Below are 25,721 nucleotides of genomic sequence, written 5' to 3' on the forward strand. Positions count from 1 at the left end.
TGAAATTTGTGGATGTCACTAACACATTTACTAGAGAGAAATTTATGGCACTAAATCCTATATTTAGAAAAGAATTCTCAAGTCTATGACTTCAGATCCCCCTTCAAGAAAATAAAAAAAGGAGAGCATCTTAAACCTAAAGTAAGCCAAATAAAGGAAACAACAAAGATAAGAGCAGATATCAGTGAAATACAAAACAGAAAAACAGTATAGAAAATCAATGAAGCTATAAGCTGATTCTTGGAAAAGATCAGTAAAATTGATAAACCTCTAGCCAAACTGATCTGGAAAGAAATAGAAAAAAAAAAAAAGGAAAGAAAAGAAGGAAGGGAAGCAGGGAGGGAGGGAGGAGGACGCAGATTATCAATATCAGGAATGAAAAAACTGGTATCACTATAGATTCCACAGAAATTAAAAGAATAATAAAATATTATGAACAGCTTTATGCCAGTAAATTCAACCACTTAGATGAAATGAATAAATTCCTTAAAGTACATACATTACCAACTGTTATTTAAGAAGAAACAGATACTGTATACTCAAAGAAATTTAACTTTTAGTTTAAAATCTTCCAATAAAGAAAATGCCAGGCACCAAAATTCAAGGGGGTAATTTGAACAAATATTTAAGGAAGAAATAATACCAATTCTTCTCATACTCTTCCATAAAAGTGAAGTGAGAATATACTTTCCAACTCATTTTATGAGGCCAGCGATAGCCTGATTCCAAAACCAGACAAAGACATTACAAGAAGAGAAAACCAAAGATCAATATTCCTCGTGAACTTAGACGCAAAATTCTTAACAAAATTTTAGCAAATAGAAACTAACAATAGATTGCAAAAAAGAATAGTATATCATGACCAAGTTGAGTTTATCCCAAGAAGGCACAGTTGATTTAATATTTTTTAAAAAATCAATCAATATAATTTACTCTATAAAATGATGAAAAACTAAAATATATGGCCATCTCAATGGGGAAAAAGCATTTGACAAAATCCAATGTCCATTTCTGATTAAAATCATTAACAGAGTAGGAATAAAGGGAAACTTCCATACAGTAAAGGTTATCCACGAAAAACCCACAGCTAATATCATACTCAATGGTGAACAACCGAATCGAAACTAGTGGGTTATATCCGCTCTCACCAACTCATTAAACATTGTCCTGGAAGTTTTAGCCAGTAAAGTAAGGCAAGAAAAAGAAATAAAAAGCATTCAGATTGGAAAGGAAAATTTAAAACTGTCTTTATTCAACAACACCATGGTTGTCTAAATAGAAAACCTGATAGAATCCACAAAAAAGCCACTAAAGCTAATCAGTAAGCCTAGAAAGCTTGAAAGATTCAACTAAACCAACAAAAATCAATTGGATTTCTATGATTTAGTAATAAAAAACAGAAACTGGAATTTTAAAAGGCAGTGTGATTACTAGTAGTATTCCAATACTTAATATTTATGGATGAATCTGACAAAAGTACACTGAAACCTGTAAAACATTGCTGAAGGAAAATTTTAAACATTTAAGTAAATGAAGAGCTATACTGTATTTGTGGATTGGAAGACACAATATTTGTTAAGATGTAAATTCTCCCTAAACTGATCTATAGATTCGACACAATCTGAATCAAAATCACAGCAGGATATTTTGGTCAGAATTGAGAAGTAATTCTAAAATTTGCATGGAAATGCAATGGACCTATGATAGCCAAAACAACTTACTTTGCAAAAGAAAAAAATATATACATCTAACACAACCTGATTTAAGACTTATCATAAAGCTACAGTAATCAGGAAATGGTGCTATTGGTGTCAAAATAAACAAATAGATCAATTAAACAGAAGAGAGATATATAAATACACTCACTCATATGTATATGACTGATTTTCAACAAAGGCGGAATTCAATTCCATGGAAAAAACAGTCTTTTCAAAAAATGATGTTGTACAATTGCATGTGCAAACAAAGAGAAAGGAACTTTGATTCATAGCTTGCACCATATACTACAAAAACACACACACACACACACACACACTTTAAAGTGTGACCTTGAGTTGAGCAAATATTTCTTAGACACCAAAGCAAAATCCATAAAAGAAAAAGTTGACAAATTGGACTTTATCAAAATTAATAACTTCTGCTCTTCAAAAGATACCGCTGAAAGAATGAAAAGACAAACTGCAGAATTGGAGAAAATATTCCCAATCCATATACTTGACAAAGACATTGTATCTAGAACATACAATGAACTCTCAAAACTCAAATATAATAAAATAAACAACCCAAAAGATCTAACCAGACACTCCACCAAAGAAGACAAATGGTTGGCAGACAAACACATGAATCCAAATTAAAACTGCAAAGAGAAATCGCTGCTTGACTATTAGCATAAGTAAAATTTAAAAGACTGACCACACTCAAGGTGTGTGAGAATGTGGAGGAACCAGAACTCCCCTCCATGGCTAGTGGACTGTAACGTGGTGCAAACACTGTGGAAAGCTGTTTGACAGATTCTTACAATGCTTAGTATACACCTGTCATATGTTCTAGCCATTCCACCAGCTATATATCCAAGAGCAATGAAAGTTTATGTTCACACAAATACATACACAAACGTTTGCAGCAGGTTTATTTGTAATGGCTGCAACCTAGACCGACCCAGATTTCCATCAACAGGTGAATGTGTAAACAATGTATGGTACATCCATACTGCTCTGCAATTAAAATAATGAACCATTGATACATGCGACATGTGGATGAAACTCAAAATAATTATGTTCAGTGAAAGAAGTCAGAGTATATGCTGTTTGGTTCCATTTATATAAAATGCTTTAAAATGCAAACGAATCTACAGTGATAGAGCAGGTAAGCTGTTACCTGGGTGTGGGCAAGGGGGTGCCCTAGAGGGAGGAATTTACCAAGGGCCACAAGGAAATTTTGGGGGAGGATGGAGATGTTCATTGTCTTGATTGTGGTGATGGTTTCACAGTCATATCCATATTTCAAAGCACACCAAAGTGTATATCTTAACTATGTGCGATTTATTATATATGAATTATACCTCAATACAGTTTTTTTAACTGCCTTAAAATACAATGTCTCACCCATCAGATCGCCAGAATTCTAAAACGTGGACACCATCTACTGCTGGCAAGCTTGTGGGGAGGCAGAGCTTCTTTTCAGAGAAGCCCTTTAGGTTTTAGGCTCCCTCCCTCAACCAGGGTCTAAGCATTCCCCATCATTGCACACTCATCCATGCTAATGAATTTTTAAATTTTAATTTTAGCTTTTCCAGCTGCCGCTGGCCTTTTCCGACAGCAGAGTGTTAGGTGACTATAGTGATAACATTGCTCTGTAAGAATACGACTTTTTAAGGGAGGAATCAGGGTAGGCAAAAAAGAGAAGCAATTTCACGGATTCACTCATCTGCATTCATTCCACAACTATTCATTGACTGCCTAGGAGGTGCCAGGCACTGTTCTAGGCACTGGGGATACAGCTGAGATCAAGCCCCACAAAGTCTTTGTTCCCATGGAGCTGACAGTCCAGCGCCAGGCTGCAGACAATAAACACCCATCAGATCAATAGGGAGTGCGTCCAGTGGTGACGAACACAGTGAGAGGGAAGCTCGGAAGCAGTTATTTCAAAGAACGGGGTCAGGCAGGTCTCAGTGAAAGACGATGTTTGAGCAGAGACTTGAAGAGAGCGAGTGCTGGAATAAGATGATTCAGAAAGGTTGAAACCAAGCTTCTTTGAAAGCACGTGGCTTCCTTTCCCTCCGTACATGTTTGGAATATGCAGGAAGGACTTCACATCCTTGTGTCTCAGCCTCTCCACCTTCCTACCATGGCTTGAAGCAAGGTTTTTGATGTGTATGGGTGTGTTTGCCAATGTAAACTCGGCATCCCAGGCCTCGCAGTGCCTCTCGCCAGCTTGGTGACTCTGGGCAGGTCAGTTATCATCTCTGAGCCTTGTTTTCCTTTTCTGTAAAAATAGATGATTAGGAATTCACCCGTTCATTCAACCAACATGTATTAAGCAGTTACATGGCGGGGCCTGTTCTACGTAATAAGACATAGTGGAGAACAGGACACAGTCCCTGCCCTCACGGAGTTTATGTCCCGAGCAATGGACTGAATGTGTGTGCCCCCCTCCCCAAATTCAATTCATATGTTGAAACCCTAATTTCAATGTGATGGCGTCAGGAGGTGGCAATTTTGGTAGGTGGTTAGATCATGAGGTTTGGCCCTCATCCCATAAGGATAGGGCCTTATAAGAAGAAGCCAGAGAGCCAGCTAGCCCTTCCTGCCATATGAAGATAAAATGAGAAGGTGGTCATCTGCAACATGGAAGAGAGCCCTCACCAGTATCTGACCATGCCGGCACCCTGATTTCCTGTTTGCAGGTAGGGTGTGGTCACTCACACCTGTAACCCCAGCACTTTGGGAAGCTGAGGTGGGAGGATCACTTGAGCCCAAGAGTTTGAGACCAGCCTGGGAAACGTGGTGAAACCCCACCTCTAGAAATAATTTTTAAGAAATTACCCAGGCATAGTGGCGCATGTCTGTGGTCCCAGCTACTCAGGAAGCAGAGGTGGGAGGACCACTTGAGCCTGGGAGTTTGAGGCTGCAGTGAGTGGAGATGGTGCCACTGCACTCCAGCCTGGGCAATGGAGTGAGACCCTGTCTCAAAAAATAATCCTCATTTGCCAATGCCCACAGCTTTGATGGGGACCTCCTAAAAGGGCCAAGAGGCCCATCCCTCTGGGGCCACAACTCACCCTTGTCATCTGAGGAGGATGCAGGTTCATGGAGTAGACTGCCCAGGTTCTAAGCCTGGCTCCATCACCTACACACTGGAGAGTCTGTGCCCAGTATTTGATGATCGTGCCTCAGTTTCCCCATCTATAAAATGGGGATGATAATAGTAGACCCGACCTTGCAGAGCTGTTGTGAGGCATTCACGGTTATTACACATGAAGTGCTACTCACAGTCCCTGGCAACAGGGTCAGTTGTCAGGATTGGCTCCTCCAAGTCATCCTCGTCATGAGGGCCATGACATTGTGTCAGCGCAGTGTGCCCACAGCTGGGCTCATAGGAACAACAGCAGCTCTCCCAGGCCCTTCCTTGGTGTTCCAGGGCCACTGAAAGGATCAGCAGCATCGGTAACCAATGATTTTCTCTGCCCTGCAATGTAAACAAGTCCTCCCACACTTCTCCCCTCCACCCACACTGTTAAGTGATGCGGGCAGAGCAGAATTCTGTATTTTTCTGACTTACTATTACGCAAACAGAGGCTCCAACGATTGCACTGCTCAGTCCGAGGTAACTCATCTATGTTTGGGACAAACTTGCAGGTAAGTTCTCATTTTTCAGACATCCACTCAATTAACCCAATCTCTGGAGTCCCTACCAGGTACTGCCAGAAGCTCTCTTGGTTCCCTGACCTGGAACAGGATACAATCCTGGTCTAACCAAAGTCTCTCCCATCCCTACCCACATTGTACCATCACCATCCACCCCAAGCCGGCAGGAGCACTCCATAAACACACTCTTCCCTTCTTAATGACACAGTGAAGATCAGGGTTAAATTCTCAGCCACTGACTTCCAAAATAAGCTCTTGAAATCCATAGAAGACACAATTTTGAAGCCCAAAGCATTCAACGGCAAGAGGCTAGCCTGCAGGGTTCGAAGTGTTTCACACACCTAGGAGTTGGTGGGGAGAGGTTCTTAGTATACAGAGTATACCACAAATAACAAAATTGGCAAAAATACATTACAAATAAAAACCAGTTTCCTAGCCCAACAGGAGGTAAGGTGCCAGGGGGACGAGGAAGAGAGGAGAATCGGGAAAGGGGCTGATGGGAGTGTGTTCCAGAAGGAGTTCCACACCAAATCCCTCCAGGAAGAACCATAGGGGTGGGGGATAATAGGGAATATTATAGAAACCCCAGGTAGGTAAGAGGTCAGGGGAACCGGAGAGGGAAATGGTACCTGCTTATTAATTGCAGTTCCAGCCCCTGTGGGGTTGGCACCAGGGCTGCGAGGGGCATCTGGGCAGGACACTCTCACAGCATCCACCACCCCTGCATAGCACATTTCTTGTGCCCAGAAAGGGGTGCAGGCCTCAGGCCTCAGGTCTCAGCTAAGCCCGAGGGCTCCAGGGCCATCATGAGGAGACCCAAGCACAGGTGACAGTGTGGGCACCCTCGTGACCAGTGGACAGGAGATCGACCTCAGAACATCAGGTCGGCAAATTGTGCACCTCCAGGTGCTCACGCGGTGGAACTGGGCACCAGACACCCACTTGCCACATGAAAACTGAAATCTATGAGAGAAGAGGGAGGGAGACACCCTGCGGTCACCTGAGTTTAAACTAAAATTAACTAGGAAATCACTGAATTTGACAGGGCTTACCTGGCCACAACCTAAGGCTTTTTGCAAAATGAATGTTGGCTAGAAATGGAAATGAAGTTGTTATGGAAAAAAAAAAAAAGAGAGAAAATTCTGTTTTCACAACCTTTATCTGCAAGTTGTCAAATAGTGGATCAACAGCAGAAGGAATTGATTGGTCCCTGCTTTCACAGAGCCCTCTGAGATTCAAATTTATTTTCTCTGGAAATAATTTGATTATCCGTCTCATGCTACCCCCCACACACATGCACGCACACAAGAGGTGCAATTCTGTGGAAAGTTTGGGTACCTCCCATACTCATTAGCCTTCAAAACAAGTGCAACACAATCAGTGCAGGAGTCAGAGAGCTGAGAGTGACTCCGTGGGAAGCCCTTGGCTGTTCAATCCTCCCAGGTCCCCAAGAGGGAAGAGTAGACTCCCATAATTCAAAAAAAATGAAACAGCTTCAGGACAAATCACCAGAGTTCTCCGCATATCACACTGGATGTTCACTTTGTAAACTCCAAAAATAGAATCACAGAGAACTAAACAGAGAAGAGAGGGGGTGAGGAGTTACCAATACTGTGGGGAAAACATGGAGTGAGTGACCACCGTTGGATGCTCAGGATTGGGACCCACAGATCAAAACTCGGTTTCTCAACCTGTTCCTCCCAAGGACATACAGATCCAGCCCTGCAGCCCCCAGCACCAGCCCTGCCCACCCTGGCTCCCTTAGCTTCAGAGCCTCCTCACTCCTGTCTCTCCAGCCACAGTAAAATCCCTACAGCACTGGCACTGCACCTCAAGCCTGAGCACATGCTGTTCCTTCTGCTTCCAACACCCTTCACTGACACAGCCTGCTGCTCGGCCCTCCAGGCTCAGGTGCAACGTTCTATTCTTCGTGTAGTTTACCTGAGGCACTCCCAGAAAGGGGGCTTCCTTCCACAATGCTTCACAACACCTATAGATGGCCCTGTATGGGATCTGTGTCCCCATGTAGATAGTGAGCTCCTCTCCAGGAGACATTCGCTCATTCATTCATTCATCCATTGAACAAACATTTACTGAATATCTACTAGATGCCCATAAATAAATGACACACAGAAATGGTTGAAAGAATAAATAGATAATGATTCCACTTTCAGGCCAGGGAAGTCAGTATGGTGTGTTAGAAAGAACACAGGCTTCCGAGTCAGACAGATGAGTTAGAAGCCTGACTCTGGAATTTGCTAAGCTGGTGACTCTGAGGGAATTACTCATCTGAGCCCAGTTTCCTCAGATATAAAAATGAGAACAGTAACAGGTAATGTTTGCTTCTGATATTATTATTCATTACTCAAAACACAGAGTTATCAGGAGGAAGCAGGAATCTATGCAGAAGACAGGAGCTTCCTCTCCCTGCAAGAGAAGAGGCTGGACCATCTCTGGTTCCCTACTGGCCACATGGGAATTTGGCAGAGACGAGTTACCTACCCAAACCCTTTCTCCCTTTCTATCATACTAGAGAGTCCCAATTTAAAATGACCTTTCTTATCATCCCTTGCAAGTTGGGGTGGTCATGGGACTCAGTTCTGTATAAAGATTTAGTATAAAGATTATACCACAAATAACAAAATTGGCAAAAAAAACCATTACAAATAAAAATCCATTTTCTAGTCCAACAGGAGGTAAGGTGCTGCAGGGATGAGGAAGAGAGGAGAATTGGGAAATGATTTGCAAGAAGATGTCACTAAGTGGGGCTTCTGGAAAAGCTCTTAAAAGGGAAAAGAAGACATTTATGCAGCCACAAAACACATGAAAAAATGCTCACCATCACTGGCCATCAGAGAAATGCAAATCAAAACCACAATGAGATACCATCTCACACCAGTTAGAATGGCAATCATTAAAAAGTCAGGAAACAACAGGTGCTGGAGAGGATGTGGAGAAACAGGAACACTTTTACACTGTTGGTGGGACTGTAAACTAGTTCAACCATTGTGGAAGTGAGTGTGGCAATTCCTCGGGGATCTAGAACTAGACATACCATTTGACCCAGCCATCCCATTACTGGGTATATACCCAAAGGACTATAAATCATGCTGCTATAAAGGCACATGCATACGTATGTTTACTGCGGCACTGTTCACAATAGCAAAGACTTGGAACCAACCTAAATGTCCAACAACGATAGACTGGATTAAGGAAACGTGGCACATATACACCATGGAATACTATGCAGCCATAAAAAAATGATGAGTTCATGTCCTTTGTAGGGACATGGATGAAACTGGAAACCATCATTCTCAGCAAACTATCGCAAGGACAAAAAACCAAACACCGCATGTTCTCACTCATAGGTGGGAATTGAACAATGAGAACACATGGACACAGGAAGGGGAACATCACACACCAGGGACCATTGTGGGGTGGGGGGATGGGGCAGGGATAGCATTAGGAGATATACCTAATGCTAAATGACGAGTTAGTGGGTGCAGCACACCAACATGGCACATGTATACATATGTAACAAACCTGCATGTTGTGCACATGTACCCTAAAACTTAAAGTATAATAATAATAAAATTGAAAAAAAAAAGGGAACTGACATAGCTATTACACTTTGCTCTATTGCTTTCTCCATCTGATGGCAGCAGCAGCCTGTCTAGAGTGGCTGCTGCCATCATGCTGGCTGCAGCAAGGAGGCATACTCCATGGAGCTGGTGGGAGCCAGGGACAAGTGGGAGCCCTGCACCTTCCAGATTGGTGGGGAAGGAGCTTCCCTGGTGCAGCCACAGCTGCCCAAGTTGTGACTGTGGAACCAGGCCTTCTACTCCATGGAGCAGGCAGGAGCCCCACCCCTGTGGCCACAGCTACAGCCTCCCAAACCACAGCTGCAGACTCAGGAATCTCTGCACTCTTGGGGGTCCAGGAAGGCCCCCATGCCCTTGCAGGCTCAGAAATGCCTGCTCCCACTGCCTGGCTTCTCCCTGCTGTTGGTGCCTGCTCCGATCTCAGAGCAAAGTCAGGGCCAAGTCACAGCTTCGCCAGGTGTGCACACACTTTGGGCGGTGCTGACATGCCAGCCCCCCACTGCCTCAGCCCCCTCTGGACTTTGGACACCAATAAGCATAGGAGGGAAGCCAAAGGGGTGCTGAAGGCAGCTTATGGCTGGCCTGCAGGTGCCTCTTGGCACCTACAGCCTGGGCGCCATGAATGGCAGCAGGAGGCAGAGAGGTTCCTGGGTGGAAGGGGGCAGATCCCCAGTGAGGCACCACCTTCAGGCCCTCCTTCAGGGAGGGAGGATCTGTAGGCTGGGGGCCCAGCTGCCGGTCCCACGGACCAGAGTGGGAACTTGTGGTGCCTTTTCCAGGCCATTCATGGCCATCCATGGACCAACTGGCATACACTTCCTCCCCTCTGAAGCCCATACAAGCCCCAGGTTCAGCCAAAGCTGAGCAGACATCAGGATGACCAGCTGCAGAGAGGAGCTACCCACTCCTGGGCCTCCTCTGAGCTACTGTGTCACTCAATAAAGCTCCTCTTCACCTTGCTTACCCTCCACTTGTCTGCGTGCTTCATTCTTCTTGGACGCAGGATAAGAACTTGGGACCTGCGGAAGGCAGGCTGAAAGAGCTATAACACAAACAGGGCTGAAACATACCCCTTGCTCGCCATGTTGTGGTTGAAGAGAAGAGAAGAGCTTCAGCCCTTCAGTAAGCCCAGACCTGGGAGCTCCCTGAGCCAAGGCTGTGACTTCCTCTTTGGGGCCCAGTGGTTCCTGGATTCTCCAAGCTTCCGTGTGCCACCGCATTCCCCAGTGGCAGCCATGGAAGCTACCTGTGGTGCACCTGGTCTAGCCACAGCCTCGCAGAGAGTCGGTGCCCACGCCGGCACCTGGAGCTGCCCACCCCATTGCAGCAGCTGGTGTGCCTGACTGTGCACGGTGGCTGGACCCCTCGCTGGTTCACTCACACACCCCTTGCCACTCCATGCCTTGCTGCCTTTGGCAGGCATGGGATCTAGGCTGGTAGTGTGAGCCAAGCACAGCCTGCCAGGACAAGTGGGAAAAATGAACCCAGCAGGCCCAAGCAAAACTTGGGCAAAGGTGCCACCAGCCACAGAGATTTCCAGCCAGAAAAGTGATACCCCAAAGATCCCTCAAAACTTCTCTTCACCTGGAATGAGGAAGAAATGATGGGAGCTGCAGCAGCCACCTTGAAACCATGAGACAACCTTGAGGGTGGAAGCCATGCATCTAGGATGACCAAGCAGAAAGATGGCATTGATGACATTGTGGAGCTCTTCTCCAGCCCACCTTGCCTACTTCTAAGTTGTGTGTCACATGTGAGGAAATTAAACACATATTTTATTTAAATCACTACTATTTACATGCAGTGGAACTCAATGTTTATCTGATGCAGAGAGTGTCTGCAGAAAATTTACCCAATCATAGAAAAGTACAATAATTGCTAAGAAGAATCATTTTGTGGTTGATTATTGTTATGTGAAATGGATTTTAGATACCCCTAAGCCAGAAATATGATTACAAGGTAAAATATGAAAAATTATTTTCTCTATTCCAAACCTGTGATTTCAGATATCATTTTTTGTGCTCTTATCTGATGACAAAGGCAATAGAGATTCATTTACACAAATTTGGAAGCTACAGAAGGCACAAAGGAAAAATAAAAGAAAATCACCTGTAGATGACCCTCCAGGGACAAGCAGTGCTAACATTTGCTCTACTTTCCTTGTTGTTTTTATTTATATGTACTCACTTACTAAAACAAGAGCCCTTCCTTCCTTCCTTCCTTCCTTCCTTCCTTCCTTCTTTCTTTCTTTCTTCCGTCCCTCCCTCCCTCCCTCCCTGAATAGACAGTGATTGAAGGCTGGGTACTATCATTTAATACTGCTTCTTTTTTTATTACCATTATTTACTAAAGCTTTCTCAGGTCATCAAATATTCATTAACATAATTTTGAAACTGAATAGCAACAATAAAACTAACCTACAATTTTTATATTAAGATATATTGTTATAATGTCAATATAATTTCATCAATAATACAACACAACTAGCCATCATTGATTAGGCACTTAACCTGTACTGGGTACCCGGGTACGGGAGTTTGCTTTCTATTTTACTCCCTGCAATAATTGTAAGATGAGGATTGTTTCATATCCTCCTTCGACAGGGGAATACAATGAGTAGTAAAGAGGTTGAAGAACTTGTCCAGGGTCTCACAGGTAGTCTGAGGGGCTAAGCAGAGCCTAACACAGGGGCTGTCCCCTGACAATGCCCACATGTGCATCTCCCATTCTGCCACACAGATTTTCTTCATAGTGATTTAAAGCATTTACCCATTTTCCAGCTGATGTGCTCATCATTGGACATTTAGTCTTTCTGATCTTCACGATCCGCTTACTTAGCCAGTGATACAGTCTCCATTTTACAAATAAGAAAAATGAAGCTGTGAGGTCAAACCCTCTCACAGAAGTGACAGAACCGAGAATGAACCCAGAATTCTGATTCCAAATACCAAGGACTTTGAGGTTTTTAATAAAAGTAATGCATATCCAAAGTTTAGAAGTAAATAACTGAATGAATTTTATGGCATAAGACAACAGGCCCTGCTCACTCTTCCTTCCCTTTATATGGTTTTGCTGTATCCCCCCAAATCTAATCTTGAATTCCCACATGTTGTGGGAGGTAATTGAATCATGGGGGCTGGTCTTTCCTGTGCTGTTCTTGTGATAGTGAATAAGTCTTATGAAATCTGATGGTTTTAAAAATGGGAGTTTGCCTGCACAAACTCATTTTGCCTGCTGTCATCCATGTAATATGTGACTTGCTCGTCCTTGCTTTCTGCCATGATTGTGAAGCCTCCCCAGCCATGTGAAACTGTAAGTCTATTCAGCATTTTTCCTGTATAAATTGCCCAGTCTCGGATGTGTCTTTATTAGCAGTGTGAAAATGAACTAATACAGTAAATTGGTACTGGGAGTGGGGTGCTGCTGAAAAGATACCCAAAAATGTGGAAGCAACTTTGGAACTGGGTATCAGACATGTTGGAACAGTTTGGAGGGCTCAGAAGAAGACAGGAAAATGTGGGAAAGTTTGGAACTCCATAGAGACTTGTTGAATGGCTTTGACCAAAATACTGATAATGATATGGACAATGAAATCCAGGCTGAGGTGGTCTCAGATGGAGATGAGGAACCTGTTGGGAACCAGAGCGAAGGTGACTCTTGTTATGTTTTAGCAAAGAGACTGGTGGCATTTTGCCCCTATCCTAGAGATTTGTGGAACTCTGAACTTAAAGAGATGATTTAGGGTATCCGGCGGAAGAAATTTCTAGCAGCAAAGCATTCAAGAGGTGACTTGCGTGCTGTTAAAGGCATTCAGTTTTAAAGGGGAAACAGAGCATAAAAGTTTGGAAAATTTGCAGCCTGAGAACGCAATAGAAAAGAAAATCCTATCTTCTGTGGAGAAATTCAAGCCAGCTGCAGAAATTTGCATAAGTAATGAGGAGCCCAATGTTAATCCCCAAGACAATGGGGAAAATGTCTCCAGGGCAGGTCAGAAGTCTTCACAGCAGCCCCTACCATCACAGGCCTGGAGGCTTAGGAAGAAAAAGTGGTTTTGTGGGCCTGGCCCACGGTCCCCATGCTGTGTGCAGCCTAGGGACTTGGTGCCCTGCATCCCAGCTGCTCCAGCCATGGCTGAAAGGGGCCAACATAGAGCTCAGGCTGTGGCTTCAGAGGATGCAAGCCCCAAGCCTTGGCAGCCACGTGGTGTTGAGCCTGTGAGTGCACAGAAGTCAAAAATTGTGGTTTGGGAACCTCTGCCTAGATTTCAGAAATTGTATGGAAATGCCTGGATGTCCAGGCAGAGGTGTGCTGCAGGGGTGGGGCCCTCATGGAGAACCTCTGCCAGGGCAGTGTGAAAGGAAAATGTGGGGTTGGAGCACCCACACAGAGTCCCTACTGGGGCATCACCTAGTGGAGCCGTGAGAAGAGGGCCACTGTACTCCAGACCCCAGAATGGTAGATCCACTGACAGCTTGCATCATGCACCTGGAAAAGCTGCAGACACTCAATGCCAGCCCATGAAAGCAGCCAGGAGGGGGGCTGTGCCCTTCAAAGACACAGGGGTAGAGTTGCCCAAGACTAGGGGAACTCACCTCTTGCAACAGCATGACCTGGATGTGAGACATGGAATCAAAGGACATCATTTTGGAGCTGTAAGATTTGACTGCCCTGCTGGATTTTGGGCTTGCATGGGGCCTGTAGCCCCTCTCTTTTGGTCAATTTCTCCCATTTGGAATGGCTGTATTTACCCAATGCCTGTACCTCCATTGTATCTAGCAAGTAACTAGCTTGTTTTTGATTTTACAGGCTCATAGGTGGAAGGGACTTGCCTTGTCTTAGATGAGACTTGGGACTGTGGACTTTTGTGTTAATGCTGAAATGAGTTAAGACTTTGGGGGACTTTTGGGAAGGCATGATTGATTTTGAAATGTGAGAACATGAGATTAGGGAGGGGCCAGGGGAATGATTATGGTTTCACTATGTCCCCACCCAAATTTTATCTTGAATTCCCACGTGTTGTGGGAGGGACACGGTGGGAGGTAATTGAATCATGGGGGCCGGTCTTTCCCGTGCTGTTCTTGTGATAGTGAATAAGTCTCACAAGATCTGATGATTTTTAAAACAGGAGTTTCCCTGCACATGCTCTTTCTCTTTGCCTGCCACCATCCATGTAAGATGTGACTTGCTCCTCTTTCCCTCTGCCATGATTGTGAGGCCTCCCCAGTCATGTGGAACTGTAAGTCCATAAAACCTTTTTCCTGTATAAATTACCCAGTCTCGGGTATGTCTTTATCAGCGGCGTGAAAATAGGGTAATACACCCCTCATTCCTTTTTCCAGAAACAAGTACTTTCATTTGTTTAGCTATTTCTTATGATTTTAACATTTATATTTCTAAAGGAACATTTGTAACTTCTCAGTGTTTTGTTATCCATTTTACATACTGACCTTCTACTACGGAGATGAGGACTAAACTCTCCTTCTTATATGTATATACACACATATACATTCTTCCTCTCTCTCCAGATATCTAATGCAATTCAAGCACAATTTAAGTAAATATTTGGCATTTACAACATTATAACTAATAACTAATACATTTTTATTTAAAGCTGAGCCATATAGTGCATTTGAATTAAATTTCCTTCCTGGTGTACCTTTTTCTATTTCTTAGAGTTAATAACTGGCTTGTATAAAAAAGGCTTATCTTTTGTAGATGTACACAAATATTTATGGATGAAATTATAAGGTATCTGGGATTGACTTCAAAATACCCTGGAAGGGCTCCTGGCTATGATAGAGTCGCAGAGGCTGAATCTACACTCCCAACTTAAACAACTAGAGAGCTGGCCAAGTTATAGGGAACAGCTATTCACAGACAGGCAACAGATGGCACAGGACCATGAATAAATGAAGCACAACCACAGTTGCCTTTGATTGGTGCCTGGAGGCAATTTTAAGGCTGCAGATCAAGCAGGGGAAACCCAAACAGAGTCCGCAGGTCTAGATGAGCTGAGGAGACAGACAATGAACTGAGACAACTAGAATTTATGAGACAGAATACTGAAGAGGAAGCCGAGGTAGAGAGACAAAGAACACTAGATAGCAACAGAAGGGCTTCCATAAGTCTTTGAGTGATGATCTGTGCATACAGAGAGGAAACTATCAGAGCAGGAAAAGAGGCACGATACAGTAGTTCCAAGCAATTCCCAAAGTTCACAAACAGCCAGGAATATTTCATCTTCCCTCTGGTGTGTGATAGATCAGCTAGAGTCCTGTGATGGATATTGCCGGTATTGGTCCTTTCTCACATTGCTATAAAGAAATACCCGAGACTGGGTAATTTATAAAGGAAAGAGGCTTAATTAGCTCATGGTTCCACAGGCTATACAGGAAGCATGATGCTGGCATCTGCTCAGCTTCTGTGGAGGCCTCAGGAAACCAAATCATGGCAGAAGGAGAAGGGGAAGCAGGCATGTCTCACATGCCAGGAGCAGGAGCAAGTGGAGTTGGTGGGGGGTGGGTGGTTTTAAACAAACAGATCTTGCGAGCACTCACTCGCTATTGTGAGGACAGTACCAAAGGGGATGGTGCTGAACCATTTATGAGAAATATCCCCCATGATCCAATCACTTCCCACCAGGCCCCACCTCCAACATTGAGGATGACAATTCAACATGAGATTTGGTGCACATGGACCCAAACCATATCACTGCCTTAATAGTGGGAATACATGAACTCTGGACTTAACCATGACAAGGGCTAAAAACCAAGTCTCAACAAATCTGTAGAGACAGAAAGTCTCTATGGCTGGGGTGGAGGTAGGCAGGAACATGAAGTTTTGGGGCAGTGACTATAAGCAGATACAAGATTTTTGGAGGAGTAATAAAATTTTTCAAAAATTAGATTATAGTTATGATTGCACAACTCTGTCAATATACTAAAGTGTTCACTTTAAATGGGTGAACTCTAGAATATGTAAATTATATCTCAAGCTGTTAAAAGAAAAAATAAAGCCTTACACAATTCAACTGATCCCAACTGACCTCACAGCGTGCCAGAACAAAATCCAAAACTATTTACAAGTATCTAACAAAATCCAGCACCCAATAATGTAAAACTGCAATGTATGCATGCAATAAAAAATCCCCAGGCATGCAAAGAAGCAGGAAAAGATGACCCATATGCATAACAAAAGTTCATCAACAGTAACTGACCCGGAAATGACAGAAATGAAAGAATTCACAAGTGACGACATTGCAACAACACATATGCATTGCCATATACCAAAACTGGAGGAAAAAATAGGAACATGACAGTGAGAGAAACGGAAGACAGAAAAAGGAAACACGCCACTTCCAGTTTCAGTCCCAACATGTTAAGAGCTGGGAAGTTGGTGCTCTCACTCATAGGACAAGGAAAAAGTTGAGAAAACTGAAAATCAGTGTCTTTTCTTGGACCCATCCGAGAACTGAGACCACAAAGCCAACCACTACCTCCAAATCTGGAAAGACAAGCTCATCTATAGCGTCACAGCTGTGACCTGCTTATCTGGAGTTAGAAGCTGCTGGAACCATAACCAGTAAGAAACCTTCATGGTCATTTTGATGAATTGCTGAGGGCTGAAAGTAGACTCGCATAACTTGCCCTGTAAGAAATGTTAGAAGTTCAGGAAGAAACTAAGGGCCTATAGTCTTAGGGAGTCCCTCACACTTTGTTTGGTTTTACCTATAGCAACCTCACCAGATGATCATGATAGAGAGATAAGAAAGATCCCCTAGTGGCTCTGGGAGAAAGAGTAGAAAAGCAAGCATTGTGTAAGTCTGAAGCATCTGCATGACCTTATCCCCTTCCCCAGCACACCACCAGAGGGAAGACATTTTCCTGGCTCCAGCCCCCTCAGTCTTTCCTGTCTCACTTGAGGGAAGTGAGGAGAAGCTAAGAAACACTTGTGAAGGTCACAGCCTGGAGACAGAGAAGACTGGGAATACATTAAGTCTATCATAGCCAGAAGCCCTTCCAGAGTATTTTGAAGCCAATCCCAGATAACATATAATTTCATCCATAAATATTTGTGTGCATCTCCAAAAGATGAGTCCTTTTTATACAAGCCAACTATTAACTCTAAGAAAAACAAAAAGTTACACAAAGAAGGAAATGTATTTAATTCAAATGCACTATATGGCTCAGCTAAATATAAAAATTATTAGTTATTAATGTTGTAAATGCCAAATATTTACTTAAAATTGTGCTTTAATTGCATTAGATAACTAGAGAGAGGAAGCGTGTGTGTGTGTGTGTGTGTGTGTGTCTCTGCACATGCATGTGTGTAAGGAGAGTTGGGTCATCATCTCCATAGTAGAAGGTCAATATATAAAAGGGGATAAAAGGGAAATAAGTATAGCCACCAAAGTCATTTTAAGTATAATTGATATGTTAAGAGAGGAGATAAAATAGAGTAAGAGAAAATGATTAATCAAAACCAGAGAAAGGAGAAAAAGGGAAGGGAGGGAAACAAGCAATTCAGCAGTGAATGGAAAACACTTGCAAACATGGCTGATATTAATCCAACTATACTAATAAGCACTTAAAATGTGAATGGACTAAAAACATCTATTAGAGATTGTCAGATGGATTTTTTAAAAGGATCCAAATATATGTTGTCTACCGGAAACCCACTCTAATTATAAAAACAGAGACAAGTTAGTTAAAAGTAAGTGAATGGAGAAAGATATACCTTGCTAACACTAACTAAAAGAGAGCTGGGATAGCTGTATTGCTTTGAGACAAACCAGACTTCAGAACAAGGAAATTTAACAAGGAAAAAGAAGGGAATACATATGGTAAAGGGATCAATTCATCACCATATATAAGCATAATATGAAAGAACTGCAAGGAAAAATATACACAATATTTTTTACAATATATGCAAATTCAATATAAACAAATCCACTACTATAGTTGGAAACTCCAACAGCCCTCCTTCAGTAATTCATAGATCAAGCAGGCAAGAAATCAGTAAGAACATAGTTGGCCTGAATAGCACTCTCAATCAACTTGATCTAACAGTTACAGAATAATCTCTTCTACAAGTACAGAATATAAAATCATCTCAACTTTGGTTGAAACATTCACCAAGATAGGCCACATAACGACAAACTTAATAGCCGGGTGTGGTGGCTCATTCCTGTAATCCCAGCACTTTGGGAGGCTGAGGCAGGCGGATCACGAGGTCAGGAGTTCAAGACCAGCCTGGCCAACATAGTGAAATCCCATCTCTACTAAAAATACAAAAAATTAGCCGGGCATGGTGGCAGGCATCTGTAATACCAGCTGCTTGGGAGGCTGAGACAGGAGAATTGCTTGAAGCCAGGAGCCAGAGGTTGCAGTGAGCCAAGATCGTGCCATTGCACTCTAACCCCAGGTGACAGTGTGAGACTCCGTCTCAAAAAAAAAAAAAAAAAAAAAAAAAAAAGACAAACTTAAAATAATAGCAATTATAGAAAATATGCTCTCAGATCACCATAGAATTAAACTAGAAATCAATAAAGGGAAATAAACAGAATATAGCGTAATATATTCAGATTAAATAACACATTTCTAAACAACACATGGGACAATGAAGTCTCAAGAGAATGGTAAAAATATTCTGAACCACATGAAAATGAAAATACAACTTATCCCAATTTGTATAATGCAGTTAAAGTAGTGCCTAAAGGGAAATTTATACTATTAAATGCATATATTAAAAAAGGAATAAAGACCTAAAATTAATAATCTAAACTTCCACCTTAGGATACTAAAGAAAAATGAGTAACTTAAGGCCAAAGCAATCAGAAAAAAATGATAATAAAAAATAGAGCAAAAGTCAGCAAAAATGAAAACAATAGAAAACATTTTATGAAACCAGAAGCTGGTTCTCTGAAAACATCAATCTAATTGACAAACAGCTAACCAGACTAACCAAGAAAAAAAAGAAAACATGAAAATTACCAATATCAGAAATGAAAGAGCAGTCTCACTACTGATCCCATGGACAGTAAAAGCATCATAAAAGAATGCTGTGAACAACTCTATGCCCATAATTTTGGTAACTTAGGTGAAATGAATGAATCCCTTGAAAGACAAACTACAAAAATTCACACAACGTGAAGGAGATAACCTAAATAAACCATATCTATTAAATAAACAATCTATAATTGGTACCCTTCCAAGAAAAGAAAGCCCCAGACTCAGATCATTTTACTGGTGAATTTTAGTAAACGTTTAAGGAAGAAATAATACCAATTTTCCATAATCTCTTCTAGAAAATAAACGCAGAAAGAATACTTCCTAACTCACAGGACCAGTATAACTGTAATATAAAAAACAGATAAAGAAAATACAAGAAAGGAAAACTAGAGACCTATATCTCACATGAACATAGATGAACAAATCCTGAAAAATATATTTACAAATTAAATCCAATAATTTATAAAAAGAATGATACACCATGACCAAGTGGGATTTATCCCAGGTATGCAAGGCTGGTTCAACATTCTGAAATCATTTAATGGAATACATCACATCAACGGGCTAAAGAAAAAATCCTATCAATTGATACAGAAATGTATTTGATGGAATTCAATATACACATACGATAAAATCTCTCAGCACACTATAGAGAGGCACTTCCTCAACTTTATAAAAAATACATAAAAAACCTATAGCTAATCTCATACTTAAATAATGAGAAATTGGATGCTTCCTCTTCAGATCAAGAATAAGGCAAAGATGTCCTCTTACAACTTCTATTCAATATCATATGGGAATCCTAGCTAGTGTAATAACACAAGAAAAGGAAATAAAATGTATACAAATTGGAAAGGAATAAATAAAACTGTCTTTGTTCTCAGATGACATAATTGTCTATATAGAACATCTCAGAACTGACCAAAAACAAACAAACAAAAAACCCCCAAAACTAATTGGTGAGGATAGTAAGGTTGCAGGATACAAGGTTAATATTCAAAAATTGATTGCTTTCCTATATAACAGAAATAAATGACTGGAATTCGAAATGTTAAAAATACCATTTAAAATACCACCAAATTAATATAATTTAGGTTTAAATCTAAAAATATGTACAGGATCTGTATGCAGAAAGCTATAAAACTCTGATGAAGGTAATCAAAAGATCTAGACAAATGGAGGAGTAATATTTCCTATTCATGATTTGGAAGATTCAATATTGTGGAGATGTCAATTCTTCCCAACCTGACCTATAGAATCTATAGGTCTATAGAATATCAATCAAAATTCTAGCAAGTTATTTTTCAGATATTGACAAACTGATCCTGAAGTTTATATGGAATGCCAAAAGATCTACAGAGTCAACACAGTACTAAAGAAAAACAAAGTTGGAGAACTCATACTAATTTCAAGACTTACTATATAGCTACAGTAATCAAGATAGTGTGGTATTGGTGAAGGAACAGGTGCATAGATCATTGGAACAGAACAGAGAGCCCAGAAATAGACCCACACAAATATAGTTAACTGACCTTTGACAAATTCCAATTATAAGGACATTCTAGAAAAGGCAAAACTATAGAGATAGTAAAATGATCAGTGACTGCCAGGGGTCCAGGTGGAGGAGGTAAAAGATTGAACGTGTGGAGCACAGGAAGTTGTTTAGGGTAGTAAAACTACTTTGTATGATAGTGTAATTGTGGATACATGGCACTATATGCTTATCAAAATGATTGTGTATCATTTTATACAAATTTGTATCATATTATACAATCATTTTAACAAATACATAATGCCATGTCAATGCAAAATTGACTTTATCATATGCAGATTAAAAACATCATTTAAGAAATCCAGAGAATTCCAGGAAGCAATGCAGAATGTGTCAAAATAATCTAACTGCATTTCAAATGTAAGAAACAACTTTACTGAAAAGGCTGGAAGAAAAAGATGCTGACCTAAGTAACTTTGGAAATGAGTGAAGTCTTTAAATGCAAAAGAAACTGCACATAAGTACTCTACTCTACTGAGAAAGTTGTTTCCCACATGGGTCCAGGTTATCAAAACCCTGATAATGCTCCACATATGTACTGGAACTGACCACATAAGTAAATGGCTGGGAAATGATGGGAGCCACGATTTTCACTGTTGGAATGGAGAGGAGAAGGGCCAGGTGTGGTGGCTTACACCTGTAATCCAAGCACTTTGCAAGACCAAGGCGGGAGGATCATTTGAGTCTTGGAGTTTGAGACCAGCCTGGACAACATAGTGGGAACCCATCCCTGCAAAACCAAACAAACAAACAAACAAACAAAAACTAGCTGGGTGCAGTGGCATGCACCTGTAGTCCCAGCTACTTGGGAGGTTGAGGTATGAGGATCACTTAACTTGGAAAGTCAAGGCTGCAGTAAACTGTGATTGTACACTGCACTCCAGCCTGGGTGACAGAAATAAGACCATGTCTCAAAAAAATAATAAAAAAGAAAACGGGAGAAAGCCAGAATGATCCATGGGGCAATGGATTCATGTTGGAGACATCAGTAAATTCATATTTAGCATAATATAGACACAGATTATTACATTGAAAATATTAACGGACATGTGTATATAAACAGGTTAGTATGTACATGTATATTTTCTTGCTCTGTCAGCTTAGAGGCCTAGAAGTAACAATACTCCAGTAGCAATAAGCACAACTAGGGCTCAGAGTTTAGTTTCTAATACCATTCTCCAACAAAAGGAATCAGACTCCTTGGAGAAATGTCTGATTCTAGGACTGGGACAGGGAATATAAACGATGCGAATCTTTTCTAGTGCTCATCTTTTATAATGCTCACCTTTTAGACCACCTTCTAGTGCCAGAAAATAAGGAAGTACTCGGAAAAACATAAAAATCTGCACTGACGGGGTTATGTTAAAGGGATATGGGAGACAACAGAAAGAGCTCCCAATGTTGAAAGCTGGAACAATTAGAGCAACAAATTATTATTGGATTATAACTCAAAGTATAAAATAAATATCCATGAGTCTATACCGATAGAAATAAATAATTGAAAAAATAAATGGAAAAGAGATCATCTCCCATGCAGAATTCCAAATAATCTATGTAGACACTTTGCCCTCAAGGAGGTAGACTTATGTCCCCATTCCTTAAATGTGTGCTGCTCATAGTGACTTCCTTACAAAGACTGCAGTGTGGAAATCTGGGGGAGTCGTAAGCACAAAGCTGTCCCCAACTGACCCCTGCCAGGTTTGACCTCACTCCCAAATTCCCACGGCAGGATTTTCGTATGTGCGTCTCACACCTTGCATTTACCAATTATTTATTTTTGTGTTAGTCAACGCAACTAGATCGAACTCCTTAAAGACAGAATACACAGGGAGCCGAGCCCCTGCTTGTAAGTAACAAACCCCAAACTTGAGCTCAAGTCCTCTCAAGCCAAGTTCCTTGGAGCTTCTCTCTCATGAGTAGGCTTCTGTGTGAAGATACAGCCCTTCAAGAAAACAGCCTTCACCTAGAATGGCAAAAGGAATGAAAGAACACTTCATTCTCACATTGCTGTAAGGAAATACATGAGACTGGGTAATTTATAAAGAAAAGAGGTTAAATTGACTCACAGTTCCACATGACTGGGAAGGCCTCAGGAAGCTTACGATCATGGCAGAAGGCGAAGCGGAAGAACAGCACCTTCTTCACAGGGCAGTGGGAAGGAGAAGGACTGCCAGCAGGGGAAATGCCAGATACTTATAAAACATCAGATCTCGTGAGACTCACTCACGAGAACAGTACAGGGGAAACCGCCCCCATGATCCAATTACCACCACCTGGTCCTGCCCTTGACACGTGGGGATTATAAGGATTACAATTCAAGGCAAGATTTGGGTGGGGACACAGAGCCAAACCATATCAGATGGATTTTTGTAAAGATGTTAAAATATAATAAAATAAATAAGCTACCTTATTGCACACCAACATTTCATCAGACATTACAGACATAATATCTAGTATCTTCACTCTTTACAACGTCCCTACTGTAAAGTACGACATTAGGATCTTTGTTTTACAGATAAAGAGACTGAAGTTTAGAGTGGTAAAATGACTGCTAAAAAGTTGTAGAGCCACAGTTTAAACCTGGTCTATCTGATTCCAGAAACACAGGCTTTCCCCAACACATCTTGGCATTTTTTTGTGCAGTGAGTTTACAAAAGGTAAATCAGCAGTTAGTCTTTCTCTGTCTATTAACATAAGGAGTTATTATTAGGTTCAAATGCTAGATTTTGAGCAGCTTGGGCACCTCCTGCTGTTGCTAACAGCCTCTTCAATCAGGCTTCAGCCTATAATTTTAAGCCATTTTTTGAAATTTTTGCATGCAATCTACTTTCAACTATGCATAATTCTATCAGAGCCCCTGTAGAAGCAGGAAATTATCAGAAATGCAGACAATTACCTTAAAAAGGTAGAGAAGAACATAGATGTGGTGGACTTTACAGATTCAATTATATCTACTTGCCCAAGAACTTATGGCCCTTAAGTAGTGGAGCAGGATTTGAACTCCAGTCTGCTTATTCCCAAGACCATGCATGCTCCACTCTGCTGTCCTGTGTGTAAAAATCACTCCACTTTCTCTGTTCTCACTCGAGGCCCACTGGACCTTCTGATGGATGGGAAAACTGGCGCCATCATCTCTTCTCTCCTGCATTCAAACTGCTTACCTGCACCTTTCTACCAATGCAGTCATGCAGTCAAGTGGCAGCTGAAAACGGTGCACAGCTGCTGTCCCCTGGGAGAAGTGCAACCCCAGCGAAGGTACTTGTTGGGGTGCTGCATGCATGCTGATGGGAAACTGCAAATAAGACTTGGTCTTCTGGTTGCCCATGGAAAAGGGACATCCATGGCAGATAAGCATTTTAGTTAGAAGACTCAGGTTCAAATTGAGGATTCCTCCCATATAGGTGGTTTCATCATAGGCAAATTATTTAAACTCTGAGTCTCAGCTTCCTTGGCAGTAAAATGGGAATAGGGATACTCACCTTGCTGGGGTACTAGTGATCATTAAAAAGTAGGTTAAAGTTGTTGGAAGGGTCTAGCAGCAACTCTCATATGACAGATGTTTGATTTTTTATCAGTCATCGCTTTTTTCCCTTGCTGGTGAGAGGACTCTCATCCTAATCATCCCCTACTGTCAGAGAATACCCATTGTAATTGTATTATTTGCCCGGCTGACACCATGATGTGGCCCAGCCCCAGTGAGATATTACTGGCCTCAGGCACTGCTGTGTGGATGGGAAGGGTCAGCATTTACACAAGCTCTTGGTAAAACACAAGCACTTGTATGGAGTCTGTTTATAGGTAACTGTGTGAGGGCTGTTATGTGTCCATGGATCAAGGCCAGGAGAAAGGATAAGGTTTGTGGGCCATGAAGTGTGAATCCTGATTTTGCCATTTATGAGCTTTATGATCTTGTAAAAATCACTTCAGTTTTCCATACCATTGAATTTCCTCATTTGTAAAATGGGAAGATAACCCTGATTTGAACTGGTGACGGTAGACCCCAGGGGCTGACACATGTTTTGGCAACTGGAGCGATAGAGGGCGAATCTCTCTATTGAACACCACACAGGGAACAAAACGTAAGACGTAATTTCAAATAAATGCTTCCTACATAAAGCAAACATGGGTTTTGTAATAAACAGCTTTGTGCAAAACACATTTATTTTTTAAAATTCCCTTTATAAAAATAGAATATGTAACAAATACAAAACATAAGAGTAGAGAATCTGGCTGTCACCACACAGACCATAGCTTCTGCAGCAGAGGATGGGGTGTGGATTGCAGGGTGGGGGTCTCCTCCAGGGCCCTGGGGAGGTGGGGCTGAAAGAAGGAGTGTTTATGTCCTTGTGATATGGAAGAGAGTGGGCCATCTGGAAATTCATGAGACAAGATTAAACCGAGTCCCTGCAAGTTGGCATGCGCTACGGGGTCTGTGCCTTCTGCATGTGCAATTTATATTTGCGAGTTGTGCATTATAAACACACAAACACCGGCGGGCAGGAGAAAATCATCCCTTCTCTCTTCAGATGCTCCCGCAGGTCTTTCCCTTGGGCTAGTCCATGCCCAAGGCCCTCATGGCCTTTTTGGCATTCAAAAAGTTCTTCTTTTTCCTGGGAGGAACGTGCAGTGAGATCTCTGGCTCCTTTGGATTTCTGAATATAAAGAGCTTCTCTCCTGTGTTTAATAGATCAATGGTTTCTGCCCCTACAATGGGTACAGGGGCCAGTTCGCCAATGGGCTCCAGTGACAGGTGTGGCCAACTTCCTTTTCCAGAGAATATCATCCTCTCTCTGAGAGGGAGACATGTCTTCTTTAATATGCTAAAGAAATAGCAAAAGATCAAATTCAATATTTTTGGCAATGAACCCTCTGGAGTGTTCTGAGTTCTCCAAGAGAATCCCTCCTTGGGTCCTGAATTCCCCAACCCAGTGCCATTTTAACAAAAGGTTATTTTCCCCCTTGGTCACCAGATTGCTGTAAAATTAGCTGAAGCCTGTAACAGTGGTGTGCTGTAGTCAACTCTTCCTGGCTCATGACCATTCCATTTTCAGGAGTTTTTTGTTTTGTTTGAGATGGAGTTTCGCTCTTGTTGCCCAGATGCAGTGCAATGGCACAACCTCGGCTCACTGCAACCTCCACCTCCCAGGTTCAAGTGATTCTCCTGCCTTAGCCTCCTGAGTAACTGGGACGA

The 25,721-nt window shown here is 41.9% G+C and overlaps 1 protein-coding gene and 1 long non-coding RNA gene across 6 annotated transcripts in view; both read right to left on the reverse strand.

Moving 5' to 3' along the window:
• EVC2 (EvC ciliary complex subunit 2) overlaps positions 1-25,721 on the reverse strand; it is a 180,538-nt gene that overhangs the window by 8,755 nt on the left and 146,062 nt on the right. For 4 of the 5 annotated variants that reach the window (NM_001166136.2, XM_017007736.2, NM_147127.5 and 1 more), the window contains one exon: positions 24,674-25,350. The exons of the other annotated variant lie outside the window; for it this stretch is intronic. In NM_001166136.2, the coding sequence (NP_001159608.1) occupies positions 25,083-25,350 (268 nt within the window). In that variant the 3' untranslated portion in view covers positions 24,674-25,082. Of the gene's footprint in view, positions 1-24,673; positions 25,351-25,721 lie in introns of those variants that run through there. 5 annotated transcript variants of the gene reach the window in all.
• On the reverse strand, positions 1,233-12,126 carry LOC124900166 (uncharacterized). The gene is made up of 2 exons (XR_007058006.1): positions 4,781-12,126; positions 1,233-3,984 (listed from the first exon to the last, which is right to left on the reverse strand). It is a non-coding gene; the product is annotated as an uncharacterized LOC124900166 (long non-coding RNA).

Source organism: Homo sapiens, chromosome 4, assembly GCF_000001405.40.
Source record: "Homo sapiens chromosome 4, GRCh38.p14 Primary Assembly".
Taxonomy (NCBI): Eukaryota; Metazoa; Chordata; class Mammalia; order Primates; family Hominidae; genus Homo; species Homo sapiens.